The 18886-nt window shown below is 39.8% G+C and overlaps 1 long non-coding RNA gene across 4 annotated transcripts in view, besides 1 other annotated feature; it reads right to left on the reverse strand.

Moving 5' to 3' along the window:
* The window catches only part of LINC01572 (long intergenic non-protein coding RNA 1572), a 384069-nt gene that overhangs the window by 300225 nt on the left and 64958 nt on the right, over positions 1-18886 (reverse strand). The gene's annotated exons all lie outside the window — the stretch shown is intronic.
* Positions 9408-9467: an enhancer, noted in NCBI's record as "active region_11097". NCBI's record gives its function as "activates an Ori minimal core promoter by ATAC-STARR-seq in GM12878 lymphoblastoid cells {active_cell/tissue: GM12878}" and the evidence as "EXISTENCE:reporter gene assay evidence [ECO:0000049][PMID:35858748]".

Below are 18886 nucleotides of genomic sequence, written 5' to 3' on the forward strand. Positions count from 1 at the left end.
CGTGCCTGGCTCGGAGGGTCCTATGCCCATGGAGCCTCGCTCATTGGTAGCACAGCAGTCTGAGATCAAACTGCAAGGCGGCAGTGAGGCTGGTGTAGGGGTGCCCGTCATTGTCATTGCCAAGGCTTGAGTAGGTAAACAAAGCGGCCGGGAAGCTCAAACTGGGCGGAGCCCACCAAAGCTCAAGGAGGCCTGCCTGCTTCTGTACACTCCACCTCTGGGGGCAGGACACAGCCAAACAAAAGGCAGCAGAAACCTCTGCAGACTTAAATGTCCCTGTCTGACAGCTTTGAAGAGAGCAGTGGTTCTCCCAGCACGCAGGTGGAGATATGAGAACGGACAGACTGCCTCCTCAAGTGGGTCCCTGACCCCTGACTAGCCTAACTAGGAGGCAGCCCCCAGTAGGGGCAGACTGACACCTCACATGGCCGGGTACTCCTCTGAGACAAAACTTCCAGAGGAATGATCAGGCAGCAACATTTGCTGTTCACCAATATCCGCTGTTCTGCAGGCTCTGCTACTGATACCCAGGCAAACAGGGTCTGGAGTGGACCTCCAGAAAACTCCAACAGACGTGCAGCTGAGGATCCTGACTGTCAGAAGGAAAACTAACAAACAGAAAGGACATCCACACCAAAATCCCATCTGTATGTCACCATCAAAGACCAAAGGTAGATAAAACCACAAACATGGGGAAAAAACAGAGCAGAAAAACTGGAAACTCTAAAAACCAGAGCGCCTCTCCTCCTCCAAAGGAACGCAGCTCCTCACCAGCAATGGAACAAAGTTGGATGGAGAATGACTTTGACGAGTTGAGAGAAGAAGGCTTCAGACGATCAAACTACTCTGAGCTAAAGGAAGAAGTCTGAACCCATGGAAAAGAAGTTAAAAACCTTGGAAAAAAATTAGACGAATGGCTAACTAGAATAACCGATGCAGAGAAGTCCTTAAAGGACCTGATGGAGCTGAAACCCATGGCACGAGAACTATATGACGAATGCACAAGCCTCAGTAGCTGATTGGATCAACTGGAAGAACGGGTATCAGTAATGGAAGATCAAATGAATGAAATGAAGCATGAAGAGAAGTTTAGAGAAAAAAGAATAAAAAGAAACCAACAAAGCCTGCAGGAAATATGGGACTATGTGAAAAGACCAAATCTACGTCTGATTGGTGTACCTGAAAGTGACAGGGAGAATGCAACCAAGTTGGAAAACACTCTGCAGGATATTATCCAGCAGAACTTCCCCAATCTAGCAAGGCAGGCCAACATGCAAATTCAGTAAATACAGAGAATGCCACAAAGATACTCCTCAAGAAGAGCAACTCCAAGACACCTAATTGTCAGATTCACCAAAGTTGAAATGAAGGAAAAAATGTTAAGGGCAGCCAGAGAGAAAGGTCGGGTTACCCACAAAGGGAAGCCCATCAGACTAACAGCGGATCTCTCGACAGAAACTCTACAAGCCAGAAGAGAGTGGGGACCAATATTCAACATTCTTAAAGAAAAGAATTTTCAACCCAGAATTTCATATCCAGCCAAACTAAGCTTCATAAATGAAGGAGAAATAAAATCCTTTACAGACAAGCAAATGCGGACAGATTTTGTCACCACCAGGCCTGCCCTAAAAGAGCTCCTGAAGGAAGCACTACACATGGAAAGGAACAACCGGTACCAGCCACTGCAAAAACATGCCAAATTGTAAAGACCATCGAGGCTAGGAAGAAACTGCATCAACTAACGAGCAAAACAACCAGCTAACATCATAATGACAGGATCAAATTCACACATAACAATATTAACCTTAAATGTAAATGGGCTACATGCTCCAGTTAAAAGACACAGACTGGCAAACTGGATAAAGAGTCAAGACCCATCCATCAGTGTGCTGTATTCAGGAAACCCATCTCATGTGCAGAGACATACATAGGCTCAAAATAAAGGGATGGAGGAACATCTACCAAGCAAATGGAAAACAAAAAAAGTCAGGGGTTGCTATCCTAGTCTCTGATAAAACAGACTTTAAACCAACAAAGATCAAAAGAGACAAAGAAGGCCATTACATAATGGTAAAGGGATCAATTCAACAAGAAGAGCTAACTATCCTAAATATATATGCACCCAATACAGAAGCACCCAGATTCATAAAGCAAGTCCTTAGAGACCTACAGAGAGACTTAGACTCCCACACAATAATAATGGGAGACTTTAACACCCCACTGTCAACATTAGACAGATCAACGAGACAGAACGTTAACAAGGATACCCAGGAATTGAACTCAGCTCTGCACCAAGCGGACCTAACAGACATCTACAGAACTCTCCACCCCAAGTCGACAGAATATACATTCTTTTCAGCACCACACCACACCTATTCCAAAATTGACCACATAGTTGGAAGTAAAGCACTCCTCAGCAAATGTAAAAGAACAGAAATTATAACAAACTGTCTCTCAGACCACAGTGCAATCAAACTAGAACCCAGGATTAAGAAACTCACTAAAAACCGCACAACTACATGGAAACTGAACAACCTGCTCCTGAATGACTATTGGGTACATAACGAAATGAAGGCAGAAATAAACATGTTCTTTGAAACCAACGAGAACAAAGACGCAACATACCAGAATCTCTGGGACACATTCAAAGCAGTGTGTAGAGGGAAATTTATAGCACTAAATGCCCACAAGAGAAAGCAGGAAAGATCTAAAATTGACACCCTAACATCACAATTAAAAGAACTAGAGAAGCAAGGGCAAACACATTCAAAAGCTAGCAGAAGGCAAGAAATAACTAAGATCAGAGGAGAACTGAAGGAATTAGAGACACAAAAAACCCTTCAAAAAATCAATGAATCCAGGAGCTGGTTTTTTGAAAGGATCAACAAAATTGATAGACCGCTAGCAAGACTAATAAAGAAAAAAAGAGAGAAGAATCAAATAGACACAATAAAAAATGATAAAGGGGATATCACCACCGATCCCACAGAAATACAAACTACCATCAGAGAATACTACAAACACCTCTACGCAAATAAACTAGAAAATCTAGAAAAAATGGATACATTCCTCGACACATACACCCTCCCAAGACTAAACCAGGAAGAAGTTGAATCTCTGAATAGACCAATAACAGGAGCTGAAATTGTGGCAATAATCAATAGTTTACCAACCAAAAAGAGTCCAGGACCAGATGGATTCACAGCCGAATTCTACCAGAGGTACAAGGAGGAACTGGTACCATTCCTTCTGAAACTATTCCAATCAATAGAAAAAGAGGGAATCCTCCCTAACTCATTTTATGAGGCCAGCATCATTCTGATACCAAAGCCGGGCAGAGACACAACCAAAAAAGAGAATTTTAGACCAATATCCTTGATGAACATTGATGCCAAAATCCTCAATAAAATACTGGCAAACCGAATCCAGCAGCACATCAAAAAGCTTATCCACCATGATCAAGTGGGCTTCATCCCTGGGATGCAAGGCTGGCTCAATATACGCAAATCAATAAATGTAATCCAGCATATAAACAGAGCCAAAGACAAAAACCACATGATTATCTCAATAGATGCAGAAAAAGCCTTTGACAAAATTCAACAACCCTTCATGCTAAAAACTCTCAATAAATTAGGTATTGATGGGACGTATTTCAAAATAATAAGAGCTATCTATGACAAACCCACAGCCAATATCATACTGAATGGGCAAAAACTGGAAGCATTCCCTTTGAAAACTGGCACAAGACAGGGATGCCCTCTCTCACCGCTCCTATTCAACATAGTGTTGGAAGTTCTGGCCAGGGCAATCAGGCAGGAGAAGGAAATAAAGGGTATTCAATTAGGAAAAGAGGAAGTCAAATTGTCCCTGTTTGCAGACGACATGATTGTTTATCTAGAAAACCCCATGGTCTCAGCCCAAAATCTCCTTAAGCTGATAAGCAACTTCAGTAAAGTCTCAGGATACAAAATCAATGTACAAAAATCACAAGCATTCCTATACACCAACAACAGACAAACAGAGAGCCAAATCATGAGTGAACTCCCATTCACAATTGCTTCAAAGAGAATAAAATACCTAGGAATCCAACTTACAAGGGATGTGAAGGACCTCTTCAAGGAGAACTACAAACCACTGCTCAAGGAAATAAAAGAGGATACAAACAAATGGAAGAACATTCCATGCTCATGGGTAGGAAGAATCAATATCGTGAAAATGGCCATACTGCCCAAGGTAATTTACAGATTCAATGCCATCCCCATCAAGCTACCAATGACTTTCTTCACAGAATTGGAAAAAACTACTTTAAAGTTCATATGGAACCAAAAAAGAGCCCGCATCGCCAAGTCAATCCTAAGCCAAAAGAACAAAGCTGGAGGCATCACACTACCTGACTTCAAACTATACTACAAGGCTACAGTAACCAAAACAGCATGGTACTGGTACCAAAACAGAGATATAGATCAATGGAACAGAACAGAGCCCTCAGAAATAACGCTGCATACCTACAACTATCTGATCTTTGACAAACCTGAGAAAAACAAGCAATGGGGAAAGGATTCCCTATTTAATAAATGGTGCTGGGAAAACTGGCTAGCCATATGTAGAAAGCTGAAACTGGATCCCTTCCTTACACCTTATACAAAAATTAATTCAAGGTGGATTAAAGACTTAAATGTTAGACCTAAAACCATAAAAACCCTAGAAGAAAACCTAGGCAATACTATTCAGGACAAAGGCATGGGCAAGGACTTCATGTCTAAAACACCAAAAGCAATGGCAACAGAAGCCAAAATTGACAAATGGGATCTAATTAAACTAAAGAGCTTCTGCACAGCAAAAGAAACTACCATCAGAGTGAACAGGCAACCTACAGAATGGGAGAAAATTTTTGCAATCTACTCATCTGACAAAGGGCTAATATCCGGAATCTACAATGAACTCAAACAAATTTACAAGAAAAAAACAAACAACCCCATCAAAAAGTGGGCGAAGGATATGAACAGACACTTCTCAAAAGAAGACATTTATGCAGCCAACAGACACATGAAAACATGCTCGTCATCACTGGCTATCAGAGAAATGCAAATCAAAACCACAAAGAGATACCATCTCACACCAGTTAGAATGGCAATCATGAAAAAAGTCAGGAAACAACAGGTGCTGAGAGGATGTGGAGAAATAGGAACACTTTTACACTGTTGGTGGGACTGTAAACTAGTTCAACCATTGTGGAAGTCAGTGTGGCGATTCCTCAGGGATCTAGAACTAGAAGTACCATTTGACCCAGCCATCCCATTACTGGGTATATACCCAAAGGATTATAAATCATCCTGCTATAAAGACACATGCACACATATGTTTATTGTGGCACTATTCACAATAGCAAGACTTGGAACCAACCCAAATGTCCAACAACGATAGACTGGATTAAGAAAATGTGGCACATATACACTATGGAATACTATGCAGCCATAAAAAATGATGAGTTCATGTCCTTTGTAGGGACATGGATGAAGCTGGAAACCATCATTTTCAGCAAACTTTCGCAAGGCGAAAAAACCAAACACTGCATGCTCTCACTCATAGGTGGGAATTAACCAATGAGAACACATGGACACAGGAAGGGGAACATCACACACCGAGGCCTGTTGTGGGGTGGGGAGAGGGGGGAGGGATAGCATTAGGAGATATAACTAATGTAAATGATGAGTTCATGGGTGCAGCACACCAACATGGCACATGTATACATATGTAACTAATCTACACGTTGTTCACATGTACCCTAGAACTTAAAGTATGATAAAAAAAAATACAAAAATTAGCCAGGCGTGGTGGTATGTGCCTGTAACCCCAGCTACTCAGGAGGCTGAGGCAGGAGAATCACTTAAACCCAGGAGGCAGAGGTTGCAGTGAGCCAAGATTGTGCCACTGCACTCCAGCCTAGGTGACAGAGTGAGACTTTGCCTGAAAAAAAAAAAAAAATAGAAAAAGAAATGGGTTTTTGCTATGTTGCCCAGGCTTATTGCTTTTAATTTCTTTCATAGGATGTTATCTTCCTAAAGCACTCATAAAAAATGGAAAATGTTTGTGTTAGAAATATCCTTTCAACTCAACCCTGCCCTGAATGTCATTCAGTGTAACACATATTTTGGTCCTTCTATTTATTACACTACAGATATTTTAAAAAACATTTTTTAGACATAGAGACAGGATGGACTGGATACGGTGGCTCATGCCTGTAATCTCAGCACTTCGGGAGGCTAAGATCAGTGAAGGTCAGGAGCCGGAGACCAGCCTGGGCAACGTGGTGAAACCCCGTTTCTACTAAAAATACAAAAACGTGCGCCTGTAATCCCAGCTATCTGATGCAGGACAGTTGCTTGAATCGAGGAGGTGGAGGTTGCAGTGAGTCGAGATCACATCCCTGCACTCCAGCATAGGCAACAGAACGAGACTCTGTCTCAAAAAAAAAAAAAAAAAAAAAAAAAGAAACAAGAAACAGATAGGATGAAATCAAATATTATAGTGATAATTGCAGCACACCTCCTAACTAATTTTATGATAAAGATTTTGTGTCATTTTTCTAAAGTAACTATCACATGACCAGGATATTATAGAAACTAAAAAAAAAAAAAAAAAAACAAAACTAAACTGATATAGAAAAATCAGTTTGGGTAAGAAAAAAAATAGAAGACTACTTGGTTTATCCTGAGGATCAATAATTACTTACAATATATTGATCTTATCAATTAAGACTCGTCTATGGAATTAACTTTCATGAAATTGATCAGATAATGGCAAATAAAAAACAAAAACCTCTTGCTTATTCAGAAGTATATATTATTTCTGTACTTCAAAAAGCCATGTAAAATGATTGCCAAATGACTTAGGCAATTCTGGTGAATATTTTGATGATAAAACTTAGATTATTACATATCCTTGGGCTGGGCATAGTGGCTCATACCCGTTATCCCAGCAACATGGGAGGCTGAGGCAGGAGGATTGCTTGAGTCTAGGAGATTGAGGTTGCACTGAGCTATGATTGCACCACTGTACTCCAGCCAGGGCAACACAGCAAGACCTTGTGTCTTGGAAAAAAATTACATATCCTTGGAATAAAAATAGGTAGTTAAATCCAGGGAAGACTGTAATACAAGGACTAATTTCATCAGATTTATAGATTTTTTTAAAAAGTCAACTCATCAACACAAATTTTATTAATAGCAGGGTAAAAACAAAAAAAAGACTAAATTCAATTTAAAAAACACTTTAAAATCTTGATTGAAAATCCCAGAAAGTAGTGAAAGCTTAATATGTAAGAAATGAGTGTTCTCTGAAGGTTTTGGGGGAAGAGGCAGCTTTTCCTATTCAGTCATTTTGAGAAATGCAGTACAAAATGCTCTAAGAGCATTCAGTTGCCATTTGATGAAGCCATTTATAAGAGAATCAAAGTATAAGCTTCAGTTCAGTAAAGTGAATAGCTATCAGAAACAAATGTGCATGTCTATAATTATCACATCTATGCTGGCTGACAAATCCTGAAAGCGACTATATAAATGGTAATGCAATGAATATACTCTACATTCCTAAGGAATTCTGCGTGAGTATGAATTCCTGAATTCATTCCCTTAAATGAATTATAGATTCTCAAACCTGGTAGTCAAAAGAAATATGCAACAACACTGAAGAAAAATAAACAATACCAAAGAATCCTAATAACCCTTTCCCTTTACCCTTCCATAAAAATTCCAACCCATAACCTTCAAAGCAAAAACCCCTACTTACTATCAGACTCAACTTCTAGACTTCAGCATTTTACTTTTCCACAATTGAAGTCCAGATAATTGTCAATATCCTTAAGATTTGTTGGGAAAGATACAATCAGATAAGGTACTTTGAATTCCAATTTCAGGCACCTCATGATAATATATACAGAGATGCCACATATTCCCTGTTATTACTGTTTCACTCTCCCTAGTGTTTAAGTCATTCCCAGGTAGTAAGTGAAAGGACACAGAAAGGTGCATTAACTCTCTCAGGCAACTTGGCAACTATTTGGTGCACAGCTACTATGCACTAAGTGTGCCTCTAAGTACATGGCTTAGGATCTCGAAGTCACTCAAGCACTAGGGAGAAAACACTCCATTGTTGTTTAATGTTGGGATTTTGCTGCTCTATAAACTAGTGTTATGCGGAAGTTTTAGGAGATGATACTCAAATGGAAATATATATCCTTTCCTAAGTCGCAGAAAGGCAACCATAAAGCTCAAAACTGTATTACCTTGATAATGTAATTTTTAAAATGTTACGTGTGAAATAAGACCATTTATTTTTTACTTTTTTATTTTTTTGAGACAGAGTCTCGCTCTGTCGCCCAGGCTGGAGTGCAGTGGTGCAATCTCGGCTCACTGCAACATCTGCCTCCCGGGTTCAAGCAATTCTCATGTCTCAACCTCCCAAGTAGCTGGGATTACAGGTATGTGCCACCACGCCTGGCTAATATTTTGTATTTTTAGTAGAGACGGTGTTTCATCGTGTTGGCCAGGCTGGTCTTGAACTCCTGACCTCAGGTGATCCGCTGGCCTTGGCTTCCCAAAGTACGGGGATCACAGGCGTGAGCCACTGTACCCGTCCTATTGAGACCGTTTTAAAAATGATTGTGACATTATTCTAAAAACTTCAGTATCTATCCATCTCTATATACATATATATGAATGAGAGATACAGCCTAATAGAGGAGAAATGGAATAAGTAAATATCTCTGGAAACACTGAGTACAAGTACAAATGTGATTAAAAGACACAGAGTATGAGATGAAATATCCATCTTAAAATTTCAGTGCTTTGGTGGTTAAAACAGTAAGAGAAAAACAACATTGTTTTGCGCTAGGAAACCTGTTTCTAATCAACTGAGCTATTCCTATGGGGTCAAATAAAAATGATTAGCTTATTAAAAGCATAGCTTTGCTATTTAATAGGCAAAATGATTGAAATTTCTGCTGCAGATCCTGATAATTTTAGTGTTTCTAGTTAAGCCTGCAAAATTGCATTCATTATTAGTGTCCAGATTCATTAACAATTCAATTTATAGATATTAATGCTTATAATGCATGCTTCGCTTGCCAAAACTTGAAGAGAAATTGTTTCAATTAGCTTTCATGGATCATGAATCCTGCCGGCTGGGTATTTTTAGACAAAAGATACAAACACATCCCCAAGCAATGCTAATGCACAGCTGGGACTTGTGTGTAAGGTCACTTGAGCTAACAGTTTAAAAGGAAAAACAGTAAATGAGTTTTACCCAGATGAGTAAGAGAGAAGTCTTCTGTTTCCAACCAAATATTTGAAAGGCATTTAAGAAAAATGGCAGCAGAATTATTTGCTTTTGAGATCTCTGGAAGATAAAACCATTAGGCCAAAATTGGCAATCTAAACTCAAGGAGCAGTATTCAGCATATAAGACAATATGGGAGACCTTAAATTTTCCCTTTGTAAAAAAGGGGATTTCTTAGAAGTCACAAGTTAACAAAAATGCAAATCCTGTCACCTGCACAAGGGTCATGCCCCAGTGGTAGGAGAATAAAAAATAGACTGATACCACAAATGATCCAGATGACAATCCAGATTTACAGATAATTACTAACTCTCTGTTTCATGTTAGGCCACACACAACTAGGTCAAAGTTGCTATTTACTGTCAATGGCAAACAGTATTCTTAGGTAGAAGACACATTCTTTGGAGGATGTCCATCTCCTCCAGATACATTTCTGTCACATAAATCTTCATGTAAATTAAAGACAATAGCCCATCTTTGAACTTTTCTCATAGTGTAGTACAATGTCTACATTTCCTTGTGGTGTCTGGTTGTTTGTAGCTTGGTATTTACTGGAATATCAAGAGAATGGTCGACTTTTTACCTTGAAGCTAAGAGATATTTCATTTGTCCTCACCGAAATGCCGGACCATGTTGCATACTTAAGCACAGACTGAATGATGTCTCATGATTTTCCCATGAACTACAATTTCACCTCCCTGAAGGATCCCATTTAGTGAACTTGGGAAAAATCTAAAGCTAACAGTATGGAATCAAAATAAGTTTTAAAAAGACCATGAGATTCTGGAAAACTAGTCCAACACTACAACTCTAAGGACATTAATGTCATAAAAGTACAGTTGAGAGGCAGAGGACATGAAAAGCATAGAAACTCTTCAGAATGTTTGGATAAGGAAGTATGAGAACATGTGAAATATTTCTAAAATCAAACTGAGCTTTGCATTGAAGCTTAGATATTGGTCTGGAGGAACAACAAATACATCTGTAAAAATATTCATTACTATGCTTTTTAATCTTAATAGTGGTATAACATTTCCCATTGACAAGTAAGGCATAGAAATCTCTAATTTATAATAGGTAGGCATTAAACAAAACTAAAAAATATCAAGATTAAAATCTAATTTCTGAAAAAATATAAATTAGAACAAAAAGAAATCGACTGCCTTTACAAAGTAATAAAAACTAATATATGAAAATGAACTATAAGAGGCTGGAAGAAAAATGGAAAAACAAGTTTGGAGAGAAAAGTGAAAAAAAATCAGTGTTTTCAGTCAGGTGCGGTGGTGCAGGCCTGTAGTTCCAGCTACTTGAGAGGCTTAGGTGGGAGGACACCAGGCTGGGCGACATAGAGAGACTGACTCTTAGAAACAAAACGAAACAAAAAAACTTAAAACCAAATGTGGAATAAAGTAAGCAACTTTTTATAAATACCATCATTACTTAGCATTTAAAAAAATTCTATTTTTTTAATATAATAATTTGAGTAAAGGTCTAAAAGATTGATGGAAAAGGACCAAACTAAGAGTGATAGTACATGGGATGACTGCAAAAATTAATGATGTAACCTATTTGTTTATTCAATTACTACGACTGCAGAAATATATATATATAAAGTGCATTTCTCATACTGCCAAATTCATCATGAGTATTTTTGAAAAAACACAATTTATGTTTTAAAACAAATAAGTTATTTAATACATTGGCACACCCAAATACACACATACATCTAAAAAGCAATGACAAGGACCGTGGTCACTGATGAAATCACTAGCCCTATCACATTACTATTCAGGTCTATAATTCATTCTTTAGTATTAGAGTCCATAGGGCCCTGGTTTGCTTGCCCACACTGAAAACAGAGAACAGGAAGGATCCCTGGAACGAGAAGCTCACTTTTTTCCCCATTCTTTCATAAGCTTCCTCTAGCTTCTAAGTGCTCTGATTATTCTTTTGTCTCTGTGTGGCAAACCTATTACTTTTAAGGTATTTCTCCCACCTTGCTCCTCCCATACCTCTACAATGGATGCAAAGGTCAGTGACTCCCTCAGGAATAGTAGCATTTTCAGCAAGGGGTATGGTGAGGTAGTCATGGAACTCCCATTACTGTTAACAGGAGTTACAGGCTACTTCACTGAAAATTCCAACCCAGAGTTCTTTTGATGCTGAAAACTATATTTTCATATAACCTGTACTATGTACAGAGCCCATATAGCATAGGTTATAAGATTACAAATGATGTTTAGAGGATGACATATAAACAGCAATAAATATAACTGGGCATACAGATAATCAGAAATGCAAATTGGCACTGTTAACATTACAAAGCATTTTGTACAGGTCTCTAAGTGTAGAGATATGGAGTTAACTAGATCTCAAAATTTTGAGGAAGCACGTCTTGTGGGGGCAGGGGTGATGGTGAGGACAGGGGATATTCAATATTACTTTACACATGAGATAAAACATTTCAGCATTTTTCCTATAATGACTACCTAGAGAAACAAAAAGGAAATTAGTTCAATGAAGTATTACACAGAATAAATTATATAAATATTACAACGCCGTGAAAGCAGGCATACCATCTTACTTACCAGTGTATTCCCATGGCCACCCTAAAATCATGCCTGCCACATAATATGCACATTCAACTCAAATATTTGTTGAAAGAACAGATAAATTATTCCTCACAACGTGGCTTAAGTTTCTTCTTGTGAAAAAGAAGTTCGTGACCAATCTGGGAAACACAGTGAAACCCCATTTCTAGAAAGTGAGTAACTTCTTTCAAGTGTTGTTTGTGAGGATTAAAAGCAACCAAGCAGTACTGTATAGTATAATACTGTACAGTGATAATGGGGGGGGGAATGAAATGGGGTAAGGGGTGCATGAGGACGCTTTATATTATCTTTGCAACTTTTCTGTAACTCTAAACTTATTCCAAAATTTACAAGTTTTTTTTTTTTTTTAAACTAAGCCAGCCAGGCATAGTGGCTCATGCCTGTAATCTCAGCGCTTTGGGAGGCTGAGGCGGGTGGATTGCTTGAGCTCTGAGGTTTCAGACCGGCCTGGGCAACACGACAAAGCCCTGTCATTACAAAAAATACAAAAATTAGCCGGGTGTGGTGGTGCATGCCTGCAGTTCCAGCTACTTGGGAGGCTAAGGTGGGGGGATTGCTTGAGCCCAGGAGGTCAAGGCTGCAGTGAGCCGAGATTGTGCCACTGCACTCCAGTCTGGGTAACAGAGCAAGACCCTGTCTCAAAAAAGTTAAGCAAAGCACTCAAACCAGCGTCTGATATGGCTGGTATGATCAACAAATATTCTCTCACTCTCTTCTCAACACTACCCAATAGCATTCTGGTGATGCTGCCTGAAGGGACTAACCAGCTAACTAACAAATCACAGTAGAGATCTGCTGGCCTTATTTGCTGGCCTTGTTAATTAGCTCCTAAAGCCTATACTGGCCCTAAATTATTTTAAATATTCTCACTGCATGTTACTAAAAGACTCTACCATCACTACTCCTCACTTTTTCTTTTTCTTTTATACGCTCTTATACTTTCCCTCCACTCTGTTCTTCTCCCAACTAGTACTCATTGACACTGGCATTTTTTTGTGGTGACTCCCATTTTCACAAATAGGAAAAATGTTAAGTTACTGATTCTGGAAGAGAAGAGTGGCTTTATTCAAAAGCTAACTCCAGTTTCCAGATGTTCTGATGCCCTAAACTTAATGTTCATGAATAAAATGGCAGCTTAGCTAAAATATAAAATATTCATCTTGGCCAGGTGCCGTGCCTCCCGCCTACAATCCCAGCGCTTTGGGAGGCCAAGGCAGGAGGATCATTTGAGGCTTGGAGTTTGAGACCAGCCTGGGCAACATAGTGAGATCCTATCTCTACAGAAAATTTTAAAAATTAGACAAGTTTGGTGGGGTGCACCTGTAGTTCTAGCTACTTGGGAGGCTGAAGCAGGAGATCATTTGAACACAGAAGTTTGAGGCTGCAGTGAGCTATAACTGAGCCACTGTGCTCCAGTCTGGGTGACAGAGCAAGACTCAGTCTCTAAAAACAAAACAAAACAAACAAAACTCATAACCTTGAAATGCAAAGAAATGTATCCACAGACAATTTCCCAATTAATGGTGGAATAAATGCCAAGTGTCCACATGGAATCATGAGAGGTTTACTGAGATATTTATTCTTGCAACTAGCAATGATATTTTTTAAGTTCTTTCAGAAAAAATGAAATGGGTATTCATTCTCAAAAGCAATCTTTCTTCTTTTATCATATCAGAAAGTCTGAATAGAAGTTTTAATATCATCGGATTACTTATCTCACTTTAAAATATATATATAGGGCCAGGCACAGTGGCTCATGCCTGTAATCCCAGCACTTTGGGAAGCCAAGGCAGGGGAATCACTTGAGGCCAGGAATCTGAGACCAGCCTGAGCAACATAGCAGGACTGTCTCTACCCTCCAAAAAATAATAAATATATTTAAATATATATATGTATGTATGTATTTATATACAAAATACCATCCCTGAAGGGTTAGAAGCAAAGTAAATATAAGCAAAATAATTTCCCTATGACTTATAAGCAAAATAATTTCCCCATGACTTCTATTAAAAACAGGAAATGCATTAGCATTAAAAAAAGAAAGGAAAAAAATTTTTTTAAAAAGTAGGCTGGGCATGGTGGCTCACATCTGTAATCTCAGCAATTTGGTAGCTTGAGGTGAGAGTATTGCTTGAGACCAGGAGTTCAAGACCAGCCTGAGCAACATAGTGAGACTCCCATCTCTACAAAATCTAAATTAGCCAGGCGTGGTGGTGAACGCCTGTAGTCTCAGCCACTCAGGAGGCTGAGGCAGGAGGATCACTTGAACCCAGGAGGTTGAGGCTGCAGTGAGCCATGACTGTACCACTGCACTCCAACCTGGGTAACGAAGTGAGACTCTGTCTCAAACAAACAAGCAAACAAACAAAAAAAGGCCGGGAGTGGTGGCTCACACCTGCTGTAATCCCAACACTCAGATGGATCACCTGAGGTCAGGAGTTCAAGACCAGCCTGGCCAACATAGTGAAACCTCGTCTCTACTAAAAATACAAAAATTAGCCAGGCGTGGTGGCACATGCCTGTAATCCCAGTTACTCAGGAGGCTGAGGCAGGAGAATCATTTGAACCCGGCAGGCGAAGGTTGCAGTGAGCCAAGATCACACCACTGTACTCCAGCCTGGGCAACAGAGTGAAAATCCAACTAGAAAAAAAAAAAGAAAATGTTTTCAAAGAAAAACAATGTTCAACATATACTAAGCTTAACATCTTACTTCTTTTGTTTGTTTGTTTGTTTGAGACGGAGTCTTGCTCTGTTGCCCAGGCTGGAGTGCAGTGGTGCAATCTCGGCTCACTGCAAGCTCTGCCTCCCGGGTTCACACCATTCTCCTGCCTCAGCCTCCTGAGTAGCTGGGACTACAGGCGCCTGCCACCATGCCTTACTAATTTTTTCTTTTTTTTGTATTTTTAGTAGAGATGGAGTTTCACTGTTAGCCAGGATGGTCTTGACCTCCTGACCTCATGATCTGACCGCCTCGGCCTCTCAAAGTGCTGGGATTACAGGCGTGAGCCACCGTGCCCAGCCAAAATCCTACTTCTTTAAGTCAGAATCATAGAAACAAAAGACATTCTCTGAGTTTTCCTAATACTTTCCATTAACCCCTTATAATGGAAGTATGCTCATCTGTCTCCTTATTTTCCATTCCCAATCCAGGTCTTTGTTTTATCTGAACTCTGTGCAGAACTGAAAGAAAATAAAAAGTGAAAATCAGTAAGATTTTTCTTCTGTTTTGGAGACAGGATCTCACTCTGTCACCCAGCCTGGAGCACAGTGGCACAATCTTGGCTCACTACAACCTCTACCTCTTGGGCTCGAGCAATCCTCCTGCCTTAGCCTCCTGAGTAGCTGGGACCACAGGCACATGCCACCATGCACGGCTAATTTTTGTATTTTTTGTAGAGATGGGGGTTTCACCATGTTGCTCAGGCTGGTCTTGAGCTCCTAGACTCAAGACATCCACCCACCTAGGCCTCCCAAAGTGCTAGGATGATAGGCATGAGCTACTGCGTCCAGCTGTAAAAATCAAACTGAAACAAGAAGTTACAGATATTGTCCATGAACAAGGTTGTAAGAATTTTTTTAAATGCCAGTTTAGTTGGTAGGGAGTAGTCTTTTTCTAGTAGTTGTCAAACTTTATGATTTCAGTACCTCTTTATGCTTTTAGAAAGTATTCAGGACTCCAAAGAGCTTGCTTGTGTGGTTATAACAATTAATAGTATAATAATAAAAATTAAAACAAAAATTTAAAAAATTTACTAGATTATTTTAAAACAATAGAAAATCATTGCATATTAACAGCATATTTTTATGTAAGAATATTTTTTTCTACTACAAGATATATGCATTTTTGTTTCCAGATGAAAATAAAGTTTTACATTGTAAGTATCAAGGGAAAGTGATGCTCTTAGGAAGTGGAATGTTTATCCTCAGTTAAGAAGAATGAAGTGTGGTAATGATATCTAGATGCCAGTTTGAGAAGCACAGGGCCTGTGCTTTCAGTTTTCTCACATTTGAATATTATGTTGTATGGGTTTTGTTTCTTCTGGTAAAATTTTATACACAGGAAGACAAAACTGTTTAATTGTAATCAGAATAAGCAGAGCAGGGAAAATGTTCTCCATGGATTCTACCAAGATTAACTGGCCCTCACCTAGAACTCCAAATCATCAATGGTTTCATAATTAAAACATAGTTTGCCTTCCCCTCAGAGTTATCCAACTACATTGACCCTTTGGTAGGAACTATTTGGTATGGTATCTGTTAATAAAAAGCTGGACTGGAGTTTCCTTCAAATTAGCCAAACCTGAAGTTAATCCATAGTATCTGTGAAGGCTCTGGAGAAAAAGCATGTCTTATAGATGAAAGAAAAGAGTCTTTGATCTTTTATTACCAATAGCCTCAGACCAGAATTCAGTCTATTAGCTACTAAGAATTACTAGAATTTTTGCCTTATAAGATATACCTAGCAACTGGACTTCCAACTAATTTTTTTTTTTTTTTTACCTTGTAGAATACAACTAGCATAGGCCTCTACCTAAAAAGGCAAAATTTAGTGGAAAAACAAAAACTGATTTTAGACAGGAGTGGTGGCTCACACCTGTAGTCCCAGTATTTTGGGAGGTTGAAGTGGGAGGATCCCAAGGCCAAAAGTTTGAGACCAGCCTGGCCAACATGGCGAAACCCCATTTCTACAAAAAAATACAAAAATTAGCCAGATGTGGTGGTATGTGCCTGTAGCCCCAGCTGCTTGGGAGGCTCAGGCAGAAGGACTGCTTGAGCCCAGGAGGTGGACGCTGCATTGAGCTGTGATCACGACACTGCACTCCAGCCTAAGTGATAGAGCAAGACAAGCAACCAAACAATAAATAAAAATAAAAATAAAAACCTGATTTTGCCTTGTTTTATTTTTAGTCAGATAAAAACTTTATGTCTACAAGTAAAGGGGCATGTACCAATCTTACATGTACTACCTATGCATAGCATATGCAGACTAATTGTCCTGAACCGTTACTCCTGTGTGCTTTACCTGAAACTAAATGCTACTGCTTGTACGACATTAGTTCAACCACTGTGGAAAGCAGTGTGGTGGTTCCTTAAAGAGCTAAAAACAGAACTACCATTTGACTCAGCAATCCCACTACTGGGGATATACCCAGAGGAATATAAATTGTTCTATTATAAGACACATATAAGCATATGTTCCCTGCAGCACTATTCACAATAGCAAAGACATGGCGTCAACCTAAATGCCCACCAACAGTAGACTGAATAAAGAAAATGTGGTGCATATACACCATGAAATATTATGCTGCCATAAAAACAACAAGATCATGTCCTTTGCAGGAACACTGATGGAACTAAAGGCCGTTATCGTCAGCAAACTAATGCAAGCACAGAAAACCAAATACCCTATGTTCTCACTTATAAGTGAGAGCTAAATAATGAGAACCACTGGGCACAAAGATGTAAACAACAGCCACTGGGGCCTGGAAAAAGGGAGAGAGACAGACACTGGACAGTGGGAGGAAGGAGAGGGACAGACTCTGGAGAGTGGGAGGAGGGAGAGGGACAGACACTGAGTGGGAGGAGGGATAGGGACAGACACTGAGTGGAAGGAGGGAGAGGGACAGACAATGGAGTGGGAGAAGGGAGAGGGATGGATACTGGAGAATGGGAGGAGGGAGGGGGACAGACACTGGAGAGTGGGAGGAGGGAGAGGGACAGACACTGAGTGGGAGGAGGGAGGGGGACAGACACTGGAGAGTGGGAGGAGGGAGATGGAGAGACACTGAGTGGGAGGAGGAAGAGGGACAGACACTGAGTGGGAGGAAGGAGAGGGACAGACACTGAGTGGGAGGAAGGAGAGGGACAGACACTGGAGAGTGGGAGGAGGGAGATGGACAGACACTGGAGAGTGGGAGGAGGGAGAGGGACTGACACTGGAGAGTGGGAGGAGGGAGAGGGACCAACACTAGATAGTGGGAGGAGGGAGAGGATCAGAAAAACAACTATTGGGTACTATGCTTAGTACCTGGGTGACGAACTAATATGTATAGCAAACCCTCATGACACTAGTTTACCTATATAACAAACCTGAACATGTATCCCTAAACCTCAAACTTAAAAAGTAAAAATAAAATGAGAACCCTTTTTTGAAAAAAACCTTTTTTTAAGTCTTTCATATCACCAGGTCTGATCCAAAACTTTATGGGCTTGGCAGAGTTGCGGCTATGGGCTTTCATCCCTCTCAAGGAGGTTAGGAAAACAAGTGGCTTCCATTTTCAGCCTCTATAGTCCTAGTTGAGCTTGGCCTCATATAGAGGATTTCCCATACAGAATAAGATCCAGCAACTAAGTGGCCACAATACAAGATAAATGGCTCTATTTATATAAGCTCTCAAATATTTTTCAATGAATAAATCCTAAAATATATTGAATATTATTAGAGCAAGTTTAAAATAAATACATGTAATTATAAATTTTCTAGTATTTACCTATCAATGACTATTTATTCCAATTCTTGTTTCCTCTTTTCAGACTTAAATACCTGTGCTTCTAAGCAACTTGAATTTCCTTAACCATGATGTGGGCGACAATGTGAAGAACTTTCCAGATTCCCCTTAGATGAAGGATTTGTTTCCCAGATGTTGAGAGAGTGGTCAGTTTATACCTATCATATGATAGGCCCTTCTACAATGGCCTCAGGTCCCATTTCTGGGTACCCTACATCCAATGACTGATAAATATGGGAATATAAAGGCTTGACCCCTTGCCCCAACTCCAGACAATTCTATGAAGCCAATCAAGCCCCAGAGTTCCCTGTAGGGTGAGTCCAGGCCGGCATTTGGCCTTCATGCAGCTTGATTTCTCCCTTTGCCCACCCTTGCTTTCCTCCCTTGCCTTCCATAGGTGTTGATCCTAAGGGCATTCTTTAATACTC

The sequence above is a fragment of the Homo sapiens genome, chromosome 16, assembly GCF_000001405.40.
Source record: "Homo sapiens chromosome 16, GRCh38.p14 Primary Assembly".
NCBI classification, from domain to species: Eukaryota; Metazoa; Chordata; class Mammalia; order Primates; family Hominidae; genus Homo; species Homo sapiens.